Below are 25,234 nucleotides of genomic sequence, written 5' to 3' on the forward strand. Positions count from 1 at the left end.
GTATAAATGCTAGCCGTTATCATGATAAAACTCCAAGAAACACTTAAGCAACGTAAAGTTATAATTTGAAGAGTTTATAGAAGAATCAAAGATAATTCAAATCATGAAGGATTACACTATTAGCAGCCTCTGGGATGGTCTCAGTAACACATAATGCTTTGTATATTTCTGTCCTAGCTGTCCTTCTACATAACTCTATTTCAACAGGCAAAAGCAATTAAAGTTAGTATTTTGGAACTTAGTTAATCTTTGCCATTCGTCCCTCTTGTCTTCACACTACATCCAATATGTCATTAGCACACACCACTCAATGCCCTGGCCTTGAGCAAGCCTCAGCAGAGCTGAAGAGAGAGAAAGAATTTCTAGGAGGGAGGGCCACCTACCAACAGAGTGTGAAGGACTTTGCACCAAGACGCAAGGATCCAAGAGACTGCCTGTGCTTTCTGGCATTTGAAGGTGTGTATAGTAGCAACTTAGCCACAAACACAAGTGTGCATTCTCTAATAAGAGCCATGATCATCAAAGAAGTAGAAAGCTGGCCCTTGGTTAAAGGAGGGGGCTTTATGAGATGCTAAAACAGACTGCTTTCAGCTCTTTATAAATGCTGAAAGCCTCGGCAGGGCCAGATGGAAAGAAATTACTCTTGTGGCTATATCAGGGCTTTTTCTCATGTTTATGGAATAATATGTTGCACATGCAAACAGAAATAGGCTTCTACAGCAGGAACCCTGTAACGCTGACATGGGTGTTGGAGGCGAGAACTATTTTTTTTGTTGTTGTTGTTGTTTTTTGAGACGGAGTCTCGCTCTGTCGCCCAGGCTGGAGTGCAGTGGCGCAATCTCGGGTCACTGCAAGCTCCGCCTCCCGGGTTCACGCCATTCTCCTACCTCAGCCTCTCCGAGTAGCTGGGACTACAGGCGCCCTCCACCACGCCCGGCTAATTTTTTGTATTTTTAGTAGAGACGGGGTTTCACCATGCTCTCCATCTCCTGACCTCGTGATCCACCCGCCTTGGCCTCCCAAAGTGCTGGGATTACAAGCATGAGCCACCGCGCCCGGCCTTTTTTTTTTTTTTTTTTTTTTTTTTTGAGGCGGAGTCTCGCTCTGTAGCCCAGGCTGGAGCGCAGTGGCGCGATCTCGGCTCACTGCAAGCTCCGCCTCCCGGGTTCGCGCCTTTCTCCTGCCTCAGCCTCTGGCGTAGCTGGGACTACAGGCGCCCGCCACCACGCCGGCTAATTTTTTGTATTTTTAGTAGAGACGGGGTTTCACGGCGTTAGCCAGGATGGTCTCGATCTGCTGACCTCGTGATCCGCCCGTCTCGGCCTCCCAAAGTGCTGAGATTCCAGGCGTGAGCCACCGTGCCCCGGCCGGAGGCGAGAACTATTTTACTTGGTTTAACTTACCTGAGCGCCAGAATCTTGACTGTAATAGGTATGTTCTAACAAGCCAAACTAGCTACATATTTAATTCCTAGAGAGAGTGATCTTGTTTTCACATTATTCTCAAGTGATGTCAAGTATACAAATCTTAAATGTGCAGCTTGGTTCATTTTTCCATATGTATACTGCCACCTTCTTAAAAATACATATTTTCTTAAGCCGCAATGTGTCTCTAGCTCCTCTTTCTGGAGGGATTCTTTACTGTATGATTGCATAAAGTTGATCTTTTTTGGTTAATAATCTCACATTCAAAAATGGTATCTAGAAAGAATAATAAAAAGTAAATATAATCCTGATCTTTTAAAAATTTTGTTTGTTTTAAGTCACTCTACAGATCCTTGTTACCAGGAAACCTCTTAGCCACTCAATTAGGGTTACAAAGGGAAGCATAGTCTGAATTCTCGTCTGTCGGCCTTTCTTTTTTTTTTTTTTATTATACTTTAAGTTCTAGGGTACATGTGCACAACGTGCAGGTTTGTTACATATGTATACATGCGCCATGTTGGTGTGCTGCACCCATTAACTCGTCATTTACATTAGGTATATCTCCTAATGCTTTGCCTCCCCATCCGGCCACCCCATGACAGGCCCCAGTGTATGATGTTCCCCTTCATGTGTCCAAGTATTCTCATTGATCAATTCCCACATATGAGTGAGAACATGTGGTGTTTGGTTTTTAGTCCTTGGGATAATTTGCTGACCTCTGTACCAGTGAGTCAGTTTCTTGAATCAAGGTCTCTCCCAGTGAGTTTTTATGCATTGGCTCAAGATGAATTTCTTAAGTTCCAAGCCTTTTTTCAGTTGATTTGAATGAAAGGAGTTAGTTTCTTTAATATAACCCCCAAAATACTGGAAATGGCCATGGAGTGTTGTATCCCTCTCCCCCATAACGTGAATAAGCAGTGTCTTTTTTGTGTTCCCTATGACAGTAACATTCTGTCTGTAGGATCAACATAATCAATGCCTCCTGAGGTGATGAGTGGTATTTTATCCTCTTTTGGCAGGTAGCACTCTTCCTGCATGGACCCTCCATCTTCAGAGTGCTACAAGATTCCATGTGTGATCACATTAAATCCACTCCACCCATCCCACAGCAATAACTTCTAATGATAAGCTGGTTATTTGATGTCAAATACCTTGTGAACTCATGAGGCAAAGACGACTGTAACTCATTTAACTGGAGTTTTGTATTTCACAGGTAACTCACCATACATTAATTCACACAATTTTCCTGTGAATAAAGTATTCTCGGTAGCTTCATTTAATACATGAGCTGTAGGAGACTTCAGAAAGTTAAGGAATTCTGCCAACACAAGACAGAGCTAGGTCTGAAGTATTCTAATTCCAAACCCTATTCACATTTCATACATAAATATGCTACTCTATCTCCGTCCAGGATAAATTTTGGAGATGTTGAATCTAGCTGGATGAAATCAGTCTTCTATCTTTATTTCTGTTGGTTGTTGGTAGATATGTTGTGCTGTTGTTTGTTTTCATTTACCTGAGGTTAGAAAGCATGGAACAAAGTTTTCAGCTAAACCAGTAAGTTTCAGAGGTTTAAGGAGAAGCAACAATACATGCAAAAACTCCATGTGACACTGGTCTTTCTGCCCTTGTATTGAAAGTGTCTTACTGAATCACAAAGCTGACATATTAGTCTCTTACTTAGTGCTGCTGTTATCCTCTCGTCTTTAACAGACAAAATTAAAAACTCATAACTAAGCTGAAAGGAGCTTCATGCTCTAACACCTCTCCAGATTCATCTATCCTCTTAATGCACCCACATACATTCTCTCAAAAACTGTAGTCAACCTGATCTTCTTCATTTTTTTTTTCTCCAGCCCCGAGACAGAGTCTTTCTCTGTCGCCCAGGCAGGAGTGCAGTGGCGTGATCTCAGCTCACTGCAACCTCCACCTCCTGAGTTCAAGCAATTCTCCTACCTCAGCCTCCTGAGTAGCTGGGATTACAGGCGTGTGCCACCACGCCCGGCTAATTTTTATATATTTAGTAGACATGGGGTTTCACCATGTTGGCCAGGCTGGTCTCGAACTCCTGACCTCGTGATCCGCCCGCCTTGGCCTCCCAAAGTGCTGGGGGGTTACAGCCATGAGCCACTGCACCCGGCCAACCTGATCTTCTTTTACTTCCTCAGACAGTATGTTCTTTCTCGTTTCCAGGCCACTACGCACACACTTTTCTCTACCCTGTTCATTTCCCTCTACTCTTTGCTTAGTAGGCTTTATCACATCTTAGCTTACAAGGCCTTCCTTTGAGAAATTCTCCCTTCTGATTGGTTGTTTTTGGCTTGTCTAATCATTCCTAGCACATACTAGGCTCTAAGTAAATTTTTGATAAATAAAAGAAAATTGGCAGGTATAGAATGACATGAGAAAGAGAAGTGCAGATAATAAGTCTGGATGTTTTTTAAAATTATTTTTAGAAAGAAGGAATGCTAAGATTGAGAACTTAGCCGATGTAAAAAAGCTTTTTATAGTTTTCATTCTGCTTTTTCAGCTATTTTCTCCCTCTGAGGACCACCCTCTGAACTCCAATAAATCAATACAGTGTCTCATTTCCTCACTATTCAACAAAAGATATGCTATGCATTCCTGTACTTGGCACTGATCTAGAGGTTGGGGATACAGCAGTGAACAAGACAGATGAAACGCACCCCATCATGGAGCTTAGACATGGGGAAAAGGAGAGACAATGACCAAGTGCATAGTTTCAGATAGGGGTAAATGTTATGAAATAAAGCAGTGAGGGCAAGAAAATATGACTGATATGGAGTCACTTGGGTCACTTTTAACAAGGAGATTAAAGAAGGCCCTTCTGAGGAGGGGCCAACTGCTCAAAGACTTGAATCATGTAAGAGCATGAGCTATGCAAATATTTGGAAGAAAGCATTCCAGGAATAGGGAACAGCAAAAGGAAAAGCTGTGAGAGAAGAATGAGGTGTATGGGTGCATCAGAGTGCTATGAGAAACAGAGCAATATTATAAATAGGTTTTATGTATAATAATATATATAAAACCTATGTATAATAGTGTTCTATTTACATATTGCACGTGCTCTCTCTCTCTCTCTCTCTCTCTCTATATATATATATATATACAATGGTGCAAGCCAATTCCTTGAAAGAAATCAATTGCTCTATCATTCACATTTAATACACACACACATGTGTATATATATATGTGTGTGTGTGTGTATATATATATATATATATATATATATACATATATATATGAAGAGATCATAACCACTATGGGAAAGACTAGTGAAGGGTGAGTATGCAGGGACACACACACACATATATGTGTGTGTGTATGAAATGTGAATAGATAGAGATTGATTTCTTGTAAGGAATTGGCTTACACCATTGTACATATATATATATAGAGAGAGAGAGAGAGAGCACAATATGTAAATAGAATATTTTACATAGGTTATGTATATATATAATTATACATAAAACCTATGTATAATATTGCTCTGTTTCTCATAGCACTCTGATTACTAGTTTATATATATAGAGAGAGAGAGACACAGAGAGAGAGAGAGAGAGATTGATTTCTTGCAAGGAATTGGCTTGCACCATTGTACATATGTATATATATATAGAGAGAGAGTGCAATATGTAAATAGAATAATATTTTACATAGGTTTTATGTATATATAATTACACATAAAACCTATGTATAATTTTGCTCTGTTTCTCATAGCACTCTGATTATTAGTTTATATATATGTGTATATATATTTGTGTGTGTATATATATGTGTATACATGTGTGTATATATGTGTATATATGTGTGTATATATGTGTATATATGTGTGTGTATATATAGTGTATATATACATATGTGTGTATATATAGTGTATATATACATATGTGTGTATATATAGTGTATATATACATATGTGTGTATATATAGTGTATATATACATATGTGTGTATATATATAGTGTATATATACGTGTGTGTGTATATATATAGTGTATATATACGTGTGTGTGTATATATAGTGTATATATACATGTGTGTGTATATATATATGTGTGTGTATATATATATATAGAGAGAGAGAGAGAGATTGATTTATTCCAAGGAATTGGCTTGCATTAGGGCTGGGTAGGTGAGTCTGGAATCTGTAAGAAAGACCATCAGGAAACTCTTTGGTGGGAGCTGACTGCAGTTTACAAGTAGAATTTCCTCTTCTTACAGAAACCTCAGCTCTGCCCTTAAAGTGTTTCATCTGATTGAATGAGGCCCACACAGATTATCAAGGCTAATACCCCTTACTTAAACCCAACTGATTGTAGATGTTAATCACATCTACAAAATACCTTCACAACAACACCTGAAATGTTGTTTGAGTAAATGTGTGAAAACTATAGCCTGGCCAAGTTGTCATACAGAATCACAATGGGATGATGTATACCAGGAAGAACAGTAAAAGGACCTGTAATGTCGGTGAAGCAAGCCAGGAAGAATCATGAGATGAGATAGAAAAGGTGTATAGGGGCAAGATTATGCACTGCCTTGAAGGCTATGGTAGGGAGTTCATATATTGGGAAAATGTTGGATTTCAAGTAAGAGGTTTCACAGTCTATTAAATGTTAAATTTTTAGGCCAAGAGCAGTGGCTCATGCCTGTAATCCCAGCACTTTGAGAGGCTGAGGCAAAAAGATCACTTGAGGACAGGAGTTCTAGAACAGCCTGGCCAACATGAAGAAATCCCATCTCTACTAAAAATGCAAAAATTAGCCAGGTGTGGTGGTGTGTGCCTGTAATCTCAGCTACTCAGAAGGCTGAAGCAGGAGAATCGCATGAACCTGGAAGGTGGAAGTTGCAGTGAGCCAAGATTGCACCACTGCACTCCAGCCTGGGTGATAGAATGAGACTCTGTCTCAAAAAAAAAAAAAAAAAAAAAATAGATTTTAAAAAGATTGCTGTGGCTGTAATGAGAAAAATAGCTTCTGACAGACAAAGTACTTAGAAGACTATTGCTTTGGTCTATGGTACAAATGTGGATGGTTTGGATTAGGGTGGTAGAGATGGAGGTAGGAGTATATTATTTCCAGGATATAATTTGAAGGTGGAGACAACAAGATTTACTGATAGATTTGGTGTGCTAAGTAAAGTGGAAAAATAAAGAAGCAAGGATGAAATCCAGATTTTTGGGCCCAAGTAATTAGAATGAAGAGATCATAACCAATACAGGAAAGACTAGTGAAGGATGAGTATGCAGGGACATCAGAGGCTGAGTTTTTGATATATTAATTTGAGATGCCTTTTAAGCACCCAGCTAGTGATGTTAAGTTGGTAGTTTGGTATATGAATATGAAGTTTAGGAAGGGTGTTGGTTGGAAGTGAATTTAGGATTATCGGCAAATTCTAAGCCATGAGACTCTCAAAGAATAGAAGGAGAACCTAGCAAAGGAGGCTGCTAAGGAACAAAGAAGGAGAGAGAAGAGTCAGGAGAGTATGCGTCCAGGAAGCTAAGTGGAGAAATGGTCCATGAAGGAATAACAAACTGTACAAACACCAAGACATTAATAGATTTCTAAACTAGCTGACAACTGTTATGACTCAGACTAAAACAGCTCAAAAGTGTGATAGGCCATGAAAAAACTGGGGTAGGCTGAAGACCTTTAGTGGGTATATCCTTCACACCAAAACATCCCTTTCATCACTATGTCCATTGCCTATTACTTTTCCCTAGCTTGTCTCCTCCCTGCCTAAAACCTCTATTCTTCTTTAAACACTATAAAAATAATAAATAAAATTCAGTTGGGTGCCGTGGCTCATGCCTGTAATCCCAGCACTTTGAGAGGCCACTGGAGGATTGCTTAAGCCTAGGAGTTTGAGATTAGTTTGGGTAACATAGAGAGACCCCCATCTCTACAAAAAATTTTAAAAATTAGCCAGGTGTGGTGGTGTGTACCTGTAGTCCTAGGTATGATTGAGGTGGGAGGATCACTTGAGCCCAGGAAATCAAGGCTGCAGTGAGCTATGATTGTACCATTGCACTTCAGCCTGATATATAGATAGATGATAGATAGAGAGAGAGAGAGAGAGAGAGAGAGAGAGAGAGAGAGATCTACAAGCGGAAAATCCCTTTAAGCCCTATAAGGAAATCAGGCATCTACTCAATTTGTTATTAACTCTACCTCTATCTATGATTTTTATGTATGGAAGAGAAAGCTGGGGAAGCCTGAAATCTGGGCAGATTGAGAATGGACCCATTGATGGTGGTAAGCAAGAAGAATAGAAATGCATGTTGTTATGGGGTGGATAGTGTGAGACACAAGGCAAACTACATAGAAAAGGTGTGTTAAATGTATGTAAGCAGCACGCAAACATAAATCAATGTTGTAATTCTACTACAGTGAGCTCTGCAGCAGATTCTCACCTCCTTGACACAGGGCTACCTAATGATCATATTTACAATGTCTTATATAGTACTTGGCACACTCTATGCTCTCAATGTTTTTCAAATAAATTAGTAAAGGCTTTGGCATGGTAAGAAGCACACCATTTGAGAGCTGCAAGCCCTCTTACAGATGATCTGGTACAACTCCTTTCTTTTATAGTTACAGAAAATTGGTCTTAGAGAAATGACATAATTTGTGCAATGTCATCTAGTAATATTGAAAGAAGACAAACTTTATAAAATTTGACTACAGAAATGGCTTAGTTATTCAACAACAAGTATTTGTGGAAATTAATTATGACATCTGACACCTGAAAAAATGCCTCTTAAAATTTTGAATTGATTAAAAACAATAAACCAGATTGTATAACCTGACTTTCAGATCCAAGACTGAGGCAGTTTGAATTGAAAGAGGCCCACAGGAAATAGTTTTCTGATAAAAAATAAAGATGGGGAAGGGGATTGATTTCTTAAAACTTTAGATAATTAGAAATGAGAATATGATAGAAAAGCCAAAGAGATAGAGGGAAAGAAAAGGTGTTTTTTTTTTTTTTTTTTTCAGCAGTAGTGATTCAAGACAGTGTGAGCTAAGGCCTTTGTCAAAAGTTCCAAAACATTTTTTCCATGTATATGTATATACCTATTATATCTGTCCCTGAGATATGAGCTATGTGTTGTTATTCAGACTATTAAACTTTTAAACTTCAGGGTCTTCCTCTGGAAAGCTGGAAAAAAATAATGGTATCCACTGGTGAGGACTGAATGTGATAATCTAGGTGAAGTACTTTATTTCTGCAGAACTCACTCTAGGTAACATTGTAAACAGCAATAAGCAAAAAGTAGCTGGCTGCAGTGGGAAGAATATGGGCATAGACCCTGGCATCCTACAACCTGGGTTCCCATGCTATCTCTGCTTCTCCAAATAACTGTACATGTGTCATGTTCGGTCTTTGAAGTTCAGTTTTTCATATGAAATATGGGTATGGTAATAACTAAATCCCAGGTTTTCTGCAGGAATTGATAAAATATATGTAAAAGAAACTAGCATTTAGTTATTCTTTATGTCTGTTGTCTCCTCTGTCACCCCATTTGTGTCCCTCCCTGATCCTCCTAGCCCCCTTTGTCCTGGCAGATCACCCATGCCTTATTCCCAAATGGCCTGCCCCTTAAGAGATCATTCAAAAGCTCCTCAAATATATGGTCTAAAAACACTCTAATATGTTATTTCTCCCCTCAGGTTCGCATTTTAATGGCAATCCTTGAAAACCTAAAAGCCTTAGAAACTAGAAGAAATCAATGTTTAATGATGGAACTTGAAACATTATGACAAAGGAGAAGGAGCTGAAAGGAATTTTTAGACATCACTGAGTGCAACCAATTCATCTTCTGCATGAGCAAACATAGAAGGAGAGAGAGAAATGACAGGTGTCACACTACAGCCCCAGGTCAGTAACTCAGGCAGAGATTCAGGTTATCAGACTCATAACAGGATGCTCTGCCTAACATGCCATTTGTTTTGAGGGAAGACTCAGCAGTAGCTACCTTACTATCAGCAGCCAAGATTTGCTGTCCTTTCTACCCAATGCTCATATCCAATAGCAGCTGAATCAGCTCCTGAGCCCAGCATTCTGCTGACCCTCTCATCCTAGAGAGCAGTATACTAAATTGATATTTAGCACCTAAAAATAGCAAGGACACTGGCAATGCCTTACTAGGAGAATACTCACTAATCAATTACTATCAAACAGTTATGCCTTCTTCTGGGGCCATCCTGTTGCAAGAAGGGATTAATTGGTTTTATTTATTTATTTATTTTTGAGATGGAGTCTTGCTGTGTCACCCAGGCTGAAGTGCAGTGGTGCAATCTCAGCTCACTTCAACATCCCCCTCCCAGGTTCAAGCGATTCTCCTGCTTCAGCCTCCCGAGTAGCTGGGATTACAGGCACATGCCACCATGCCTGGCTAATTTTGTAGACGGGGTTTCACTATGTTGACCAGGCTGGTCTCAAACTTCTGACCTCAGATGATCCTCCTGCCTCGGCCTCCCAAAGTGCTGGGATTACAGGCGTGAGCCACCACACCCGGCCCAGCTTTATTTTTATTTTACCCCATTCTGAAGAAGGAGGCAAGCTTTAAAAGCAAATATTTTTGAAAAGGAAAAAAGAGACATGACAAGTGTCTACTATGTTTTTTCCCCATCCCAAGTTAGCTCAGAGGTTGGAAAAGACTGTCTTCACTCTAATTATAGGCCTTATGTTAACTTAGAAATTTGGACTTTAGTTTCTAATGGTGAGAGAGAAAATAAAAGATGCCAGGAACCTGCTGGGTTCTGTGGCATGTGTTTGTAATCTCAGATATTTGGGAGGTTCAGGTAGGAGGGTGGAAGGCTGAGGTGGTAGGATGGCTTGAGGTCAAGAGTTACCAGTCTGGGCAACATAGTGACCTCCTCTGTACAAAGTAGAAAACATTAGCTGGGCTGTAATCCAGCTACTCAGAAGGTTGAGCCCAGGAGTTCGAGGCTGCAGTGAGGTATCATTGCTCCACTGCACTTTAGCCAGAGTGACAGAGCAAGATAAAAATTTTAAAAATGCCAAGAACCTAGAAATCACCTGTATTTTGGAGGGCTTATTTAGAAAACTATGGAATGTATATGGCACATATAACCTACAAAATGATATAATTTTGCCTGAGTTAAACCTCTTCTTTCAAGTCATATAGCTGCCCTTCAGCCCTGACCCTCAATTTGTCATCTCTCAGACCTTGATTTTTGTAAAGCTTTAGGTATTTGGCAATATCGGTTTGGTCCTCCTTTAAACAACTAAGAAAGCCATTCTGGGTAACCAATTCTTTTGTAAAGGACCAATTCCAAACAAAGGAAGGGGGAGAGGCAAAAACATGAGGTAAGATAATGAATTATTTTAAATAATTTTAAGGCTAAGAATGGGAGATGGGACATAGGAGGGTATCATAGAAACAGTAAAAGGAAAGTGGGAAGATCATATTTCAAAGACATAAAAAAGTGTAAAGATGATGAGAGAAACTGTAATAAAATTGTCGAAGGAAGATCAGAGACAAGGCAAGCTAAGCGAGTTAAATAAAAAATAGAATTTGCATAAGAAGGGATTTAAAAGACTTGAAAAAATACAAAGTAAAAGATCTAATAAAGATTATTGGAAAACAAATGAACATGGCAACAAGGTTCTGCAAAGAATAATGAATGCATTACAGATTATAAAAGTACTGTGAGAAAAACATCAGAGAGAAACTGCATGGTGAATTAAAAAAAAAATCAGAGGAATCAAGAAGATGAAGACAAAAAGGATAAAAGTGTTGAGGAAGTGACAGATATTAAGACAATACACAGACGGCATGAGAGCACTACTCAGCATAGAAGAGCAAAAGTGGGTGATGGGTGTAAGGAAAATGTAAACTGCAAATAGGCTGAGTTTTTATTTTGTTTTTAAATCTACTGCAAAAGCATTTGATATTGCTTGAATGAGCATCAACAGGATGATAAAAGTATTCTTAAACTGTGATTAAGAGTTATTTATACATAAAAGCATCTTTTGCAATATTAGAAAAGTTATGTCAGGGACCCTTATATCACCATAAATATCCAACGAGATGATTCTGCCTGCATTCACAATTTAGCTACGTTATCAACCTCCCTGAAGAGGATCAAAAGAAAATGGTTGTGAACTTTTTCTTTACACATATGACATGAGTTTTAGGATATTTGAAAGAACAGGACTGAGTTCTAAGTATATTGCTATCAAAAATATGGTAGCACGTTCTCTTCTACACCACCCTTCCTCCAACTCCAAGACCCAAGCAAAATTATAAAGTCTGAAGAATTGCCTGCTCCACAATGCTCAGACATCCCTGTCTCATGTACCATGAGCGTTGACACCTATTTATCCAGGGTCTTTCTCTGGTACCCTTTACTTTGAACAATGCCCACATCAGTGCAGCATATCAGACGTCAAAATTGTAGGCCATTGCTTCCAGACAGAACATGAATTCTCTCTTCAATTAACAGTGGGTGGAGAACTCTCTCGATTCCACCATCTGATGGCCTTCTCATTATATTTTAAGAATCTTCTAAGTTTATAGTATTATGGAATTCTAGATTGGAAAGAGACTGGGAATATCAAATAATCCACACTATTATTTCACAGATGTGGAGAGATCAAGGCCAACAGTGGTGAAGTGACTTTCTTAATCCAGAAGGTGACACTCATTTATCAGAACCTCTCCTGGGTGCCCTATGAGAAAAAATATATTTTATTTAGATAGATTATACAAAAAAAACTCTTAAAACTGTCATAGGAGAGTAAAGGAATTGACATAAAAATTAAGCAGATATAGACTATTTGGCTTATGGAAAATCAAACATATTTCATTGCACTAAGCAAGTAGCTCCCAAACTTTCTTGATCTTCAGTGCTCACAATGTCTTAATAATTTTTTATAGCATACTTGGGCAAAAATAAAGACCTAACAGTTCAGTTTATTAAAGTAAATCCAAACACCTTAGCAAGTATTTATGTCTTAACAACTTATTAGCACTCTGAAGATATAATACACATAAAATAAAAATATATTCTTATTTCATTCTTATCCCTAAAACTGTAGTCACCTCTTATCCACAGTTACACTTTCTGCAGTTTCAGTTAACGCCCTCAGCTGTGATCTGAAAACATTACAGTATTTTGAGAGAAAGAGGAGAAAACATTCATATAATTTGCATTACAGTATGTTGTTATAATTGTTCTAACTTATCATTAGTTACTGTTTCTAATCTCTTACTGTGCCTAACTTACAAATCAAACTTTATTAGAGATATGTATGTGTAGGAAAAAACACAGTATGTTTATGGTTTCATACTGTCCGCGGTTTCAGGCATCCATCGGGGGTCTTGAAATGTATTTCCTGTGGATAAGGGGGCACTAGTCTATTTGGGGTTGGCATGTGAGCACTGTTAGGCACTGCACGACTTCTCAAACCTTAGAGTCAAATTGCATACAGCCATCTTCACTTCCTGTTCCACCCCAATTTTCATCCCATATTTGCTTTTTATCAAACCTGCTACAAACTAAACTTCACAAATAAAGGAAGGTGCCATGACATGGTATGGAGTACCTCTGCACAGTGTTTGGGAAATACAGGTCAAAATCTTCTCTTTGATCTTAGAGGAGTATTTCTCTTCCTTAATGGTGACAAAGACGAAGGGATTAAACCCTAACGACACATCAAAAGTATTTTTCTATTCTATTCTATTCTATTATGCCAAAAAGCCCTTTGGGGTCTCTATTTTATAAGTTGCATAAGAATTTCCTAACTAGCCTGCTCAGTTGTCTTTAGAATTGGAGTCAGTCAAGGTCTGGAGCAAAACTTTAAAAATCTCCAACTAGAGTCAAACCATTCAGTGTATATTCAGGATTTGTTTGTTTTCTTTGTTTTGATGAAATTCCAAAGCAGGAGGCAAAAAAGCACATCCTATAAAATAAAGAACAATTTCAGCTGAATTTCTGTTAATGACCTAATAGGTCTTCATAATATTAGTGGAGTAATTTCCCCTCTCATACCTGATTTGATCCTCACAACAATCATATAAAAGGCAAAGGCATCATTAGTATTTCTATTTTACCTACCATGGTTTTATAAGAATGATAGTAAGTAATCAGTACATTCATTGATAAATCAAAAGGTTTTATTGAGTACTTTGCCTGTATTCGGCAATATGCCAAAAACTGCAGCATTCAAGAGGAGTATAAAACATGCTTTCACCCCTAAAGAAGACCTTGTACTAGCTGTTGAAAGATGGTCTGTATACATTCAAAAATTAATAAGTTTATAGAAAGCAATAGTGACAATAACTTTATAGAACAATTAATGAATGAAACAACCTGGCAGTTGTGCAGTGCTGACAATAAATACAAAGTGAGTTAAACCACAAAGAGACCAATGTGGCTGCAGTGCTCCTGCAGTACTGAGCTTTATGCTCAGTACTAAGGTCACCAGTAAAGAATCTCAAGGACGCTCCAAGTTCACTTACCTGATTTATGTCTGGAATAACTGGGAGGACTCAAATGAAAGTGAAGAGCATGGTTTTTAATTTCAGTTTTTATATTGCTGCAGTCAACAACAATATAGTGTAGTAGACAAAGTTGCTTGTCACTTTATCAATCTTCATATTGCAATCAAGAAGTTCTAACCCTAAGCAAATAGAAGCAAGTAGATGAATTCTTCCCAGTAATCAACTAAAAATATCTTCAGATTTTATTTAATATAACTATAATGGGGGCAGGAAAATGGGCAAATATATTGGAATGATGAATAAAAAGGAATCCCGGAGTCGTACCTTATTTCAATGAAACTTATTATATCTTAAAGATCAGGGATGAGTAATATAGAACAGACAATAAACAACTGCAGGGTCACTTTCAGACACAATCTGGGTCGGCCTCCAGGTTGAAAGGAAACAGCACATAACTCAGGTATACTTGAGAGAACACATTTTGGCTCACCACCAAGAGGCTGGATGGTTTAAGGTACAGGTGAAAGGTCTTTACCCCCACAATTAGGTCAACAATACAGTCATGGCAAAAACAAAAAACAACAAAAAACAAACAAACAAAAACCCTTCTCAAATACTCTAAGCTGATTGTCTGCTTCTTCTTGCCACTTAAATGTGATATTGTCCACAGTTAGACACTTTGTGCTCCCTTTCCTCCTCTCATTCTACACTGTCTTCCTTGGCCATATCATACACTCCCACATCTTTAGCTACTACCTAAAATTTAGATTCTAAACAAGAAAGATGCCAACTTTGACCTTTAACCCATACATACTCATCTGAATATTTGACATCTCATTTTATTTTTCTCTTTAAACACCCTTCTTTCTTTCCTTCTTTCCTTCCTTCTTTCCTTCCTTCCTTCCTTCCTTTCTTCTTTCATTTCTTCCTTTTTCCTTCCTTCATCCTACCTTCTCTCTCTTTCTTCCTCTCTTTCTCTCCTTCCTTCCTTCCTTTCCCTCTTATTACCAAGATCTCTCTCTATTCTAGCCTCTTCCTTGCTTTACACTCACAATTTTCCCCCTCACTTCCACCATGGTGGTGCTTATTATTATTATTACTATTTTCATTATAAACTATTAAAATATATGTAATATTCATTCATATATTTAATTACAAATGATTATTTTTGCTAGCAAACAAATATAAAAAAAAGTAACATTTAGCCACATTTGCTGCATATCTTTTTTACACAAAAATTAAAGTAGCATAGTTTTTATTATTTGATTTTAAATTTGTATTCTAAAATTTTAATATGATTTGGTTATTCCCCTGACAAAAACTGAAAGATAACATCACAAACTCTTTTTCTTTTTTTTTTTTTGAGACGGAGTCTTGTTCTGTCCCCAGGCTGGAGTGCAGTGGCACAATCTCAGCTCACTGCAACCTCTGCTTCCCGGGTTCAAGCAATTCTCCTGCCTCAGCCTCCCGAGTAGCTGGGACTACAGGCACGTGCCACCAAGCCCAGCTAATTTTTGTATTTTTAGTAGAGATGGGATGTCACCATGTTGGCCAGGATGGTCTTGATCTCTTGACCTTGTGATCCACCTTCTTCGGCCTCCTGAAGTGCTGGAATTACAGCCGTGAGCCACCGCGCCCGGCCAACATCATAAACTCTTTCACATAACTTACCGCCCTATCATGATCTTTCTCCCCTCTACCTCCTCCTCTCTAGCCTCACTTTGGCCCACCTCCAAGGTGCCCTGTCCTCCTACCTACCAAACCGCTAGCAACACCTTTGCATGGGCTGCTCCTTTTACTGGAAATATTCTTTCCCATGGTATTCAGCTTACCTTTCAAAACTTAACTGACACCTACATAACAAAACAAGTGGTATAAAACATATACACACCAAATCTTTCTACCTCTAAACCTCATCTATATTTGTTTTAACATATCCTAGAGTAAGTTTGTGTGATGAGGATGGAGCAGACGCAAAAGGTCATCTGGTGCAATGGATACTAAGAAAAGAAGGTACTTGATCCCGTGCGCATATAAAAAAATCAAGCAGGCAAAAAAAATTCACAAAACTCCTGGGACACCCGGGAACCAAGGACAGAGGTCAGGGGGCTGAAGGGAGACAACACCTATAATAATGATCAAGATAACAATCTCTGAGGTCAGACTTTCAGAATTCAATTCTAACTCCACCACTCTCCTGCCAGGTAAGATTAAGCGAGTTATGCATCCTCTGTGCTTTGGTTTCCTCATCTAAAGAGGACACCTCCTGCATATGATTGTTGTAATGGTTAAATATGATAATCCATATCAAACTGATGGAAAGAAGTTGACACATAGTAAACTTTAAATAAGTATCAGCTAGTATTTTCATTACTCATTACATAGCCAAAGATGAGTAAAACAATGACTTGCTGTGAAACAAGCTAGTCTGATAAAATTCAGATCTTAGACCACAAAAAAAGGAGGAAATCACACAGAAACTTTTTGGAGAAATACAGTTTTCAAAATAATATGCTGGAAATAATTTATTATTATAAAATGGTATATGATAGAAAGGGCACCCCATGAATTAATTTTTTTTTTAAAAAGCTAATGCTGGGTGCAGTGCCTCATGCCTGTAATCCCAGCACTTTGGAAGACCAAGGCAGGGGGATTGCTTGAGCAAAGGAGTTCAAGACCAGCCTGTGCAACAAAGTAAGACCTTGTCTCTACAAAAAAGAATATAATTAGCCAGTAATTGAATTGTTTGTAACACAAAGGATAAATGCTTGGAGAGATGGATACCCTGTTCTCCATGATCTGATTATTTCACATCACATGCCTATATCAAAATATCTCATGTACCCAGTAAATATATACACCTACTGTGTACCCACCAAAATTAGAAATTTAAAAATTTTGAAAAAGTTAGCCAGGCCTAGAGGCACACACCTGTAGTCCCAGCTACTCGAGAGGCTGAAACAGGAGGATAGCTTGAGCTCAGGAGGATAGCTTGAGCTCAGGAGTTTGAGGCTGCTGTGAGCTATGATCAAGCCACTGCATTCCAGCCTGGGCAACAGAGCAAGACCCTATCTCAAAAAATAAAATAAAATAAAATAAAAGTTAAATTCAACTTTAAAAAAAGAGGTTTTGAAAGACATTTTCTAAAGGAAAAGATAACAGACCTTTAGCTTGGTATTGAAGACACAGTGATAATGAATGAAAGCTATCTGGACAAATTTGTCAACCCCTCTTTGGCTTTCAAATAGGATAAACTTCAAGATAGATAGATAGATAGATAGATAGATAGATAGATAGATAGATAGATAGATAGATATAGAAGAAACATCGTTAAGGGGAAATTGAAGTCTAAGAGAAGTAAGGAGCTGAGCTCAAAGTACTGAGATCCCTAAAATATGAGCAGGAAACTTTGAAAATGCAACTTTATGATTGGGAGAGAATGAAATTGAGATAATGCAATTTCAAGGAGTAGAAAAAGGTAAATTGTTGAAATTATTAAAAGTGAGTTTGATACCCATTCCGCTCCACAGTTTAGAACTCACCAATGAAAGAGTGTTCTGTGAGCATTTAGAGAGGAAAGCAGGATTTACTGAGCTATTTGACTGTATCTGTAGAAGAAGACTGTCTAGGACAAGGGAAGAGAGAGAAACACTCCATCCTGGGCCATAAATTCACTTTGGGACACCATCTCTTCAGTGTGATAACCTGGAGGTCATTCAAAATAGAATATCAAAATAGTGGACATGTTCAAAGCAACATTGTAAGAGAAGGAATAGCATAATCAAATTGTTGCTGTTTTGCTATTTTTTACAGTTTATTATTTTTAAAATGTAAATTTCTGTATAATTTTAAATATTAGAACTAAACATTTATGGGAATCAGTGTTAACTCTTCCCCCCTTCTTTGTTAAGTTTTCATTTTATTTTTAATAGCTTCATTCAGATATAATTAACATGCCATACAACTTACCCATGTAAAGTAGATAATTCAATTTTTTTAGTGTACTCACAGAATTATATCACCATTATCTCAATAAAATTTAGAACATTTTTATCATATATCTCTTGTTTTGACAGATATCTCATTGAATAAGTAGGTCAGTATGAGAAGTATTGCCATTTTGACAATATGAAATCTATTTTGACAATATGGAGTCTTTTCATCATGAACATGGAATATTTTCTTTATTTATTTAGAACTTCTTTAATTTCTTTAAAAAATGTTTTGTAGTTTTCAGAGTAAGTTTGCACTTTTTTCATTAAATTTATCCCTAAGCATTTTATTGTATTGTTTTCTCAATTCCATTTCCAGATTGCTCATTGCATGTGTATAAATATACAATTGATTTTCACATACTGATTTTGTACACCAATCTTGATGAACTTGTTTATTAGTTCTAATATATTTGTGATGCATTCCTTAAGATTTTTCTGCATACAAGATTTTGTCATCTGATTTTGGGGAGAAAGCATTCAGTCTTTCACCATGAAGTATGATGCTGTCTATGAGTTTTTCTTAGATGACTTTTATCAGGTTGAGGAAGTTCCCTTTAATTTATAATATGTTGAGTGTTTTGATCATAAAATTGTATTACATATTATTAAATTTATTATTATGTCTATTAAGATGATCATATCATATCTGTTCTTTATTCTGTTGTTATAGTGTATTACATTAATTGATTTTTGAATGTTAAATCTACTTTGCATTCCAGGGATAAATCCCACTTTGTCAGGGTGTATAATTGTTTTATATGTTTCTGGAATTAGTTTGACTATATTTCCTTGAGTATTTTTTGTGTTCATATTTATAAACAATGGTGGTCTGTAGCTTTTTTTTCTTTAGATGTTTGTTTTTCTCTGGTTTTGGTATCAGAGTAATACTGACTTCATAGAATGAGTTGAGAAGTGTTTCTCCTCTTACATTCTTGGAAAAGTTTGTGAAGAATTGATTTTAATTCTTTAAATGTTCACGAATGAAGTCATCTAAGTCCAGAGCTTTTCTTTGTTGGCAGCTTTTGATTACTTGTTCTTGGTCTATCCTACATTCTGTATCATTTATATTCTATATTGTCTACTTCTTCAAAAGTCATTTGGAATCGTTCGTTTATTTTCTGGTACTTGTGTATTTCATGTAAGTCATCTAATTTATTGGCATGCAGGTGTTCAAAATATTGCTTTATTATTCCTTTTGTTTGTGTATAGTTTGTGATAATGTCCCATCTTACATTTATGAATTTATGATTCCATTAGTTTTACATGTTTTGTTATCTCCCCATCTCCCCCTTCTCAAGGTTTGTCCATTTTGTTCATGTCTTCAAAGAACAAGAGTGGAATTCACTGATTTTATCTATTTTATTTTTAATATTCTTCACTTCATTTCCACATTAGTTCTTATTATTTCCTTCTTTTTGCTTGCTGTAGGGTTTGTTTGCTCCTCTTTTTCCAGTGTCTTGAAGTTGAAGATTGTGTTATTAATTTGAAATCTTTCCTGTTTCTTAGGAAAGGCATGTAGAACTGTAAATTTACCTTTAAGCACCTATTTAGCTGCACTCTACACATTTTGATGTGTTGTGTCTTTATTTTCATTCAGAGTATTTTGATTTCCTTTTTGACTTTTTTCTTTGACCCATTGGTTATTTAGGAGTCTGTTGTTTAATTTCCACATATTTGTGAGTTCCCCAAATCTTTTTCTGTTATTGATTTCTAATTTCATTACGTTGTGAATGGAGAACATACTTTGTATTATTACTATTATTTAAAATTTATTGAGCTTTTTCTTTCTTTTGTTCCTTCTTTTCTTTTTCTGATTTTTATTGGGTAGAGTGTTCTAAAGACATCATTAAGTGTAATGAATTTATGTTGCTGTTTTAATCTTCAATTTCCTTGTTGATATTTAGGCCAGCTGTTCTATCCATTAATGAAAGTAATGTATTAAAATCTCTAAATATTATGGTAAATTTCCCCTTTTTCCCTTCACTTTGGTAAGGTATTTTCTTTATGTATTTTGATTATTTGTTCTTCAATACATGCATATTTTCAATTGTTATACCTTCCTGATCAATTTATCCTTTTATCCTTATAAAAGTCCCATTTTTATCTCTAGTGACATTTTGTTTTAAAGTCTATTTTGATTTATACTACTATAGTCGCTATAGCTATCTGTAATTACTTTTTACATGATAAATTTTTTTCTAACCTTTTACTTTTATCTTTGAATCTAAACTGTGTCTCTTGTAAATAGTATATAGTTTTTTTAAATCAAATCTGATGAACTCTGCCTTTTAATTGGATTGTTTAATCCATTCACACTTGTTATTTTTTACATAATTTGATTTACACCTGCCATTTTAATTATTGCTTTACATGTCTCTCATATCTATTTTGTTCCTCTTCCCCCTATTGCTTTCCTTTTCCTTAAGCAAATATTTTCTAATAAGGCACTAAATTTCTTTAGTAATTTGCTCTCTTTTTTTTTTTTTTTAAGGAACTTCTTTGTGGCTATTCTACAGCTTCCCACATACATCCTAACTTATCAGAACCAGCTTCAGGTTTACACTACCTTATTTCCATTAAGACATATAAATATTATTCCTATATATTTCTATTTATTTTTCTTATTTCTGTGGTATTACTGTTACACACATTATATCTAATAATGGTACAGATCCAACAATATATTGTTATAATTATTACTGTGTATAATTTTATGTCTCAAAGAAGCTGAGAGGAGGAAAGAAAGTAAGAAGAAAAACTTAAATAAGAATGTTCACATTCTTATTTAAGATTTCTAATTATCTTCATTACTTCTTGTGGATTTTAAAGTTGCCATCTGGAGTCATTTCCTCAGCCTAATACAACTTTACTCCCACCTATTATATCTTCTTTTATTTGTTCAATAATGGCTTCCTTTAGTTATTTAAACATATTTATAATGGCTACTTTTGTTGTCTTTTTTCTCTTAAATCCAACTTCTGGTCACTCTCATAGGCAGTTTCTGTTGCATATTTTTTTTTGTTCTAGTATATGGGTCATATTTTTATATCTGTGTAGCTCATAATTTTTTGTTTTTGGAAACTGGACTATATATATATATTTCTTGGGTGTGTGTGTGTGTGGTTTTTTTTTTTTTTTTTTTTTTTTTGAGGGAGCCTCGCTCTGTCACCCAGGCTGCAATGCAGTGGTGGATCTTGGCTCACTGCAACCTTCACCTCCTGGGTTGAAGAAATTCTCCCACCTCAGCCTCCCGAGTAGCTGAGATTACAGGTGCCCACCACCATGGCCGGCTAATTTTTGTATTTTTAATAGAGATGGGGTTTCACCATGTTGGTGAGGCTGTTCTCAAACTCCTGACCTCAAATGATCCACCTATGATCTGCCTGCCTCAGCCTCCCAAAGTGCTAGGGTTATAGGAGTGAGCCACCACACCCTGCCTAAAATATATTATTTTGATAACTCTGGGTATTGCCTCTCCCCTGGGGCTTATTATTGTTGTTTGCTTATTTATTTTTTCATGACTCATTATTTTAGTGACATAGCTTTTCCTTCCACAGTGTTAAGCTTCTGATGATGCTCCTCAGTGAGGTGCAGCTTAGGATAGGTCTCAGAGTTTCCAGATAAAAGTATGTCCCAGTCAAACCTTGCTGTCAACCTTGTGGGACCTTAAACAATGAATCCAGCTGATACGGTTTTGTCAGTTTCCCCGCCCAAATCTTATCTTGAATTCCCACTTGTTGTGGGAGGTAATTGAATCATGGGGGCAGATCTTTCCTGTGCTGTTCTCATGATAGTCTCATGAGATCTGATGGTTTTATAAGGTGGAGTTTCCCTGCACAAGTTCTTTTTTTGCCTGCTGCCATCCATGTGAGATGTGACTTGCTCCTCTTTGCCTTCCGCCATGATTGTGAGGCCTCCCCAGCTATGTGGAGCTGTGAGTCCAATTAAACCTCTTTCTTTTGTAAATTGCTCAGTTTTGGGTATATCTTTATTGGCAGCATGAAAACAGACTAATACACCAGCCAAACCCACTGCAGTTTCTTACTTGCAGAACCGTGAGCTAATACGTGGGTTTTGTTTAAGTCCCTTGTGCATTAGTAGTTATTTCTCAACTGTTAACAGAAAATGAATGCAATGATTAAACAGTCTTCAGTACTGTCCTCCTCTAATCTATTCTCCAAGCTGCTTTTAGAGAATTCTTTCTAAAAACAAAATCTGATTGTAATCCTTCCCTGCTTCCCATTAGCTTTAAAATAAAATTTAAACAGTGTAATGTCCAAGGCCTTACCACAAGTCACCTATGCTTAAATCATATGGTAAAGTTAAGCTCTCATTTACCTCCATGTTATTGCACATAAAATATCTTTATCTTGCCTGCTTCAACTGGCTAACTCTTACTTTTTTCTAAAGATTCAGTTCACTCATGACCTCTTCTAAACTTCATGATACCCATAGCATCCTTTACATATCTATATCACAACACAAAATATTGTGTTCAGATTTTCTATTGTTACTACAATCAGACTAAGAACAGATATTTCTGCCTCTGTGTTTTAATTACTAGTATAGTGGCTGACCTCAATAGATGTTCAATAAGTTTCCATTGAATTTTTAATATATATTAATCAAATATTGAAAAAAATTTAATTGTAGCCTCAATCACCCCTTGAGCCCCAAATATGTTTATCAAACAGCTTACTCAGCAACTTTCTTGAGTATATATCTAAAAACAGCATATTAAGCTTAGTATATCTAGAAAATAACTCTTTATTCTACCCATTCAACACCACAAACCTGCTTCTACAGCGGACTTTCCATGTCAGTAAATGACAACAAAGTGTTTTTAGGTGCTTAAGATGAAAACACAGGGTGCTGGGCGCAGTGGTTCATGCCTGTAATCCCAGCACTTTGGGAGGCTGAGGCGGGTGGATCATCTGAGATCAGGAGTTTGAGACTGGCCAACATGCAGAAATCCTGCCTCTACTAAAAATACAAAAATTAGCCGGGTGTGGTGGCACTTGCCTGTTATCCCAGCTACTTGGGAGGTTGAGGCAGGAGAATTGCTTGAACCCAGGAAGTGGAGGTTGTGGTGAGCCGTGATCATGCCATTGCACTCCAGGCTGGGCGACAGAGTGAGACTTGTCTCAAAAAAAAAAAAAAAAAAAAAGAAAGAAAGAAAAAGATAAAAAGATAAAAATACAGGGGTTGGTTTTAATGCCTTACTTTCTTACATATAAAATATCTATCCTATTTGTAGGATATTAGCATATTGTATTGTCTGTACCTTCAAAATATATCCTGACCACAGCCATGAAGAGCATCCTCAACCACACCATCTTTATTTCTCACTTGGAAAACAGAAGCAGCTACTAACTGGTGTCCCTGCTGGGTATCCTCTATTTGACACTCTATAACCAGAGCATCTTTTAAAAAACATCTGTCAGATCATGTCATTCCACTGCTCAAAACACTCCTATCCCTTTATATGGAGTTTAAAATAAAATCTTAACTCTTTACTCTTGTTATTTAGTTACTACACAACCTGCTCTTTATCTCTTTACTTCTATGACTTTATCTAGTATCACTTTTCCTTTATTTACTAAACTCCAGCCACACATGTTCTCTTCATACAGCCTTGGGACATTCTGTTTCTTCTACCTAAAATACTCCTTTCCACAACATTGCTTGGTTGTGTACTTCTTATTGTTCAGATCTTAGCTTAAATGTCACATTTTCAGGAATACAGTTCCTGACCACTTAGTCTAAAAGAGCCCTTGAATCACTTACCCATCATTCCATTTTATTTTATTCATATCACATAAATAACTGATAGATTTTCTTGTTTGTTTATTTACATCCCTCTGACACACATGCACAATACATACACATATGCTGAAATATTTTTGCTATGAAAGCAGACACCTAGGCCATCTGGTTTAATGATGTTCCTATCTTTCAGAAAAAGGGACAAAATAAGCACTTAATGTTTGAATGAAATAATTATTGCCATCAGTGTGGATGCAAGGTCATTACATATGGGAGCACGGTGCAGAACCTGGTCAACCATTCTCAGGAGGCAGCCCCCCAGAAGTAAAGCACACTAAATAAAACCCTTTCTTATAATCATGATTTAACATTCTTAAGAATGCTATAGAGCCATATATAAGGAGTGAGTGGAAAATTTTCATTTTAATTCCTTTTCCGCATATGCTCAAGATTACATTATTTATTACCTTGGCAAAAGTCCTGATCACTCTCATATTAGAACCATGGCAAGTATTATATTTGCAGGAAGGTAGGGTGGGAGATGAGTAGTTGATTTATTCAGGAGTATAATATAATTACACTAATTATTGTCTTATAATAAATTAGTAGCAATCAAGTTTTGTAATGAAGATGTTCAGTCCTTTTAGTCTGGGAACCAGAGGAATGAAATTCATTGAGCAATCTATAAAACAGACATATTCAGTATTTTTTTCTAAAAGCATACCTAGCTAATGTTGGCATAAGAAAAAGCTGGTCATAAACACCACTATGAATCACTCAAATTATACAACCTGAATTTTAACTCTAAAAACACCCTCTAAACTCTAAAACAAATGAAGTGACTACAGTCATAGATATATAGATTGCCAAGAAAATGTGTATTCACACAGAAGGACTATTTAGTGGATTAGGAGTTCCAGAATCATTGGCATAGGAGTGGAAGGTTTTATTAGGGAATATTTTCGTGACAAATGTAAAAAAAATGGAACTTCAGTCATCATGTAGTAATATTGTCTAGAGGAAGACATTAGTGGATCTGGTGTTAGATAATCAGTTCGTGCCTTCATAGTTTTGTACGAGTCTATTAAATTCGGAAAGCCTTAATATCTCCTTCTATAACACAAAAACAAAACAACTACAAAAATGTTCCTTCCTATCCCATGTGAAAGGTGGAGGTGCAAATGAAAAAACATATGATATAATATTGTAAGTTGCAATGCCTTATTAAAGGTGAGCTATGAATTTTGAGTAATAATGATACACCGATTTGTTAGACATTGAGCACCCAAATGCATGGAAATAGTCCAACCCATTTATGACACAGCAGAGATTGCTATGAAAATTCAATAAAAATTACATGGAATAACGGCTATTCTAATATTACATTTGAGCCTGCTAACTTTTACACCTCAGAGACACTGAGGCCCTGAGATCAAAGGCTAGCATGAATGTCAATAGTTAAAACAACAGATTACAAGGTTGTAAACCTTCAGACCCCCATCTTCAGATCTTGAGAGTACTGTATATCTGAAGAGTTCCTCCCTGCTCCTGAAT

The 25,234-nt window shown here is 36.8% G+C and overlaps 1 long non-coding RNA gene across 1 annotated transcript in view; it reads left to right on the forward strand.

Annotated features, from left to right (window-relative positions):
- The first annotated feature begins 280 nt into the window (after positions 1-280).
- The window catches only part of LINC01288 (long intergenic non-protein coding RNA 1288), an 80,878-nt gene continuing 55,924 nt past the window's right edge, over positions 281-25,234 (forward strand). Inside the window, exons 1-2 of the long non-coding RNA NR_125746.1 lie at positions 281-456; positions 9,118-9,325. This is a non-coding gene — a long non-coding RNA (long intergenic non-protein coding RNA 1288). The remainder of the gene's footprint in view (positions 457-9,117; positions 9,326-25,234) is intronic.

The sequence above is a fragment of the Homo sapiens genome, chromosome 8 (genome assembly GCF_000001405.40).
Source record: "Homo sapiens chromosome 8, GRCh38.p14 Primary Assembly".
NCBI lineage: Eukaryota > Metazoa > Chordata > Mammalia > Primates > Hominidae > Homo > Homo sapiens.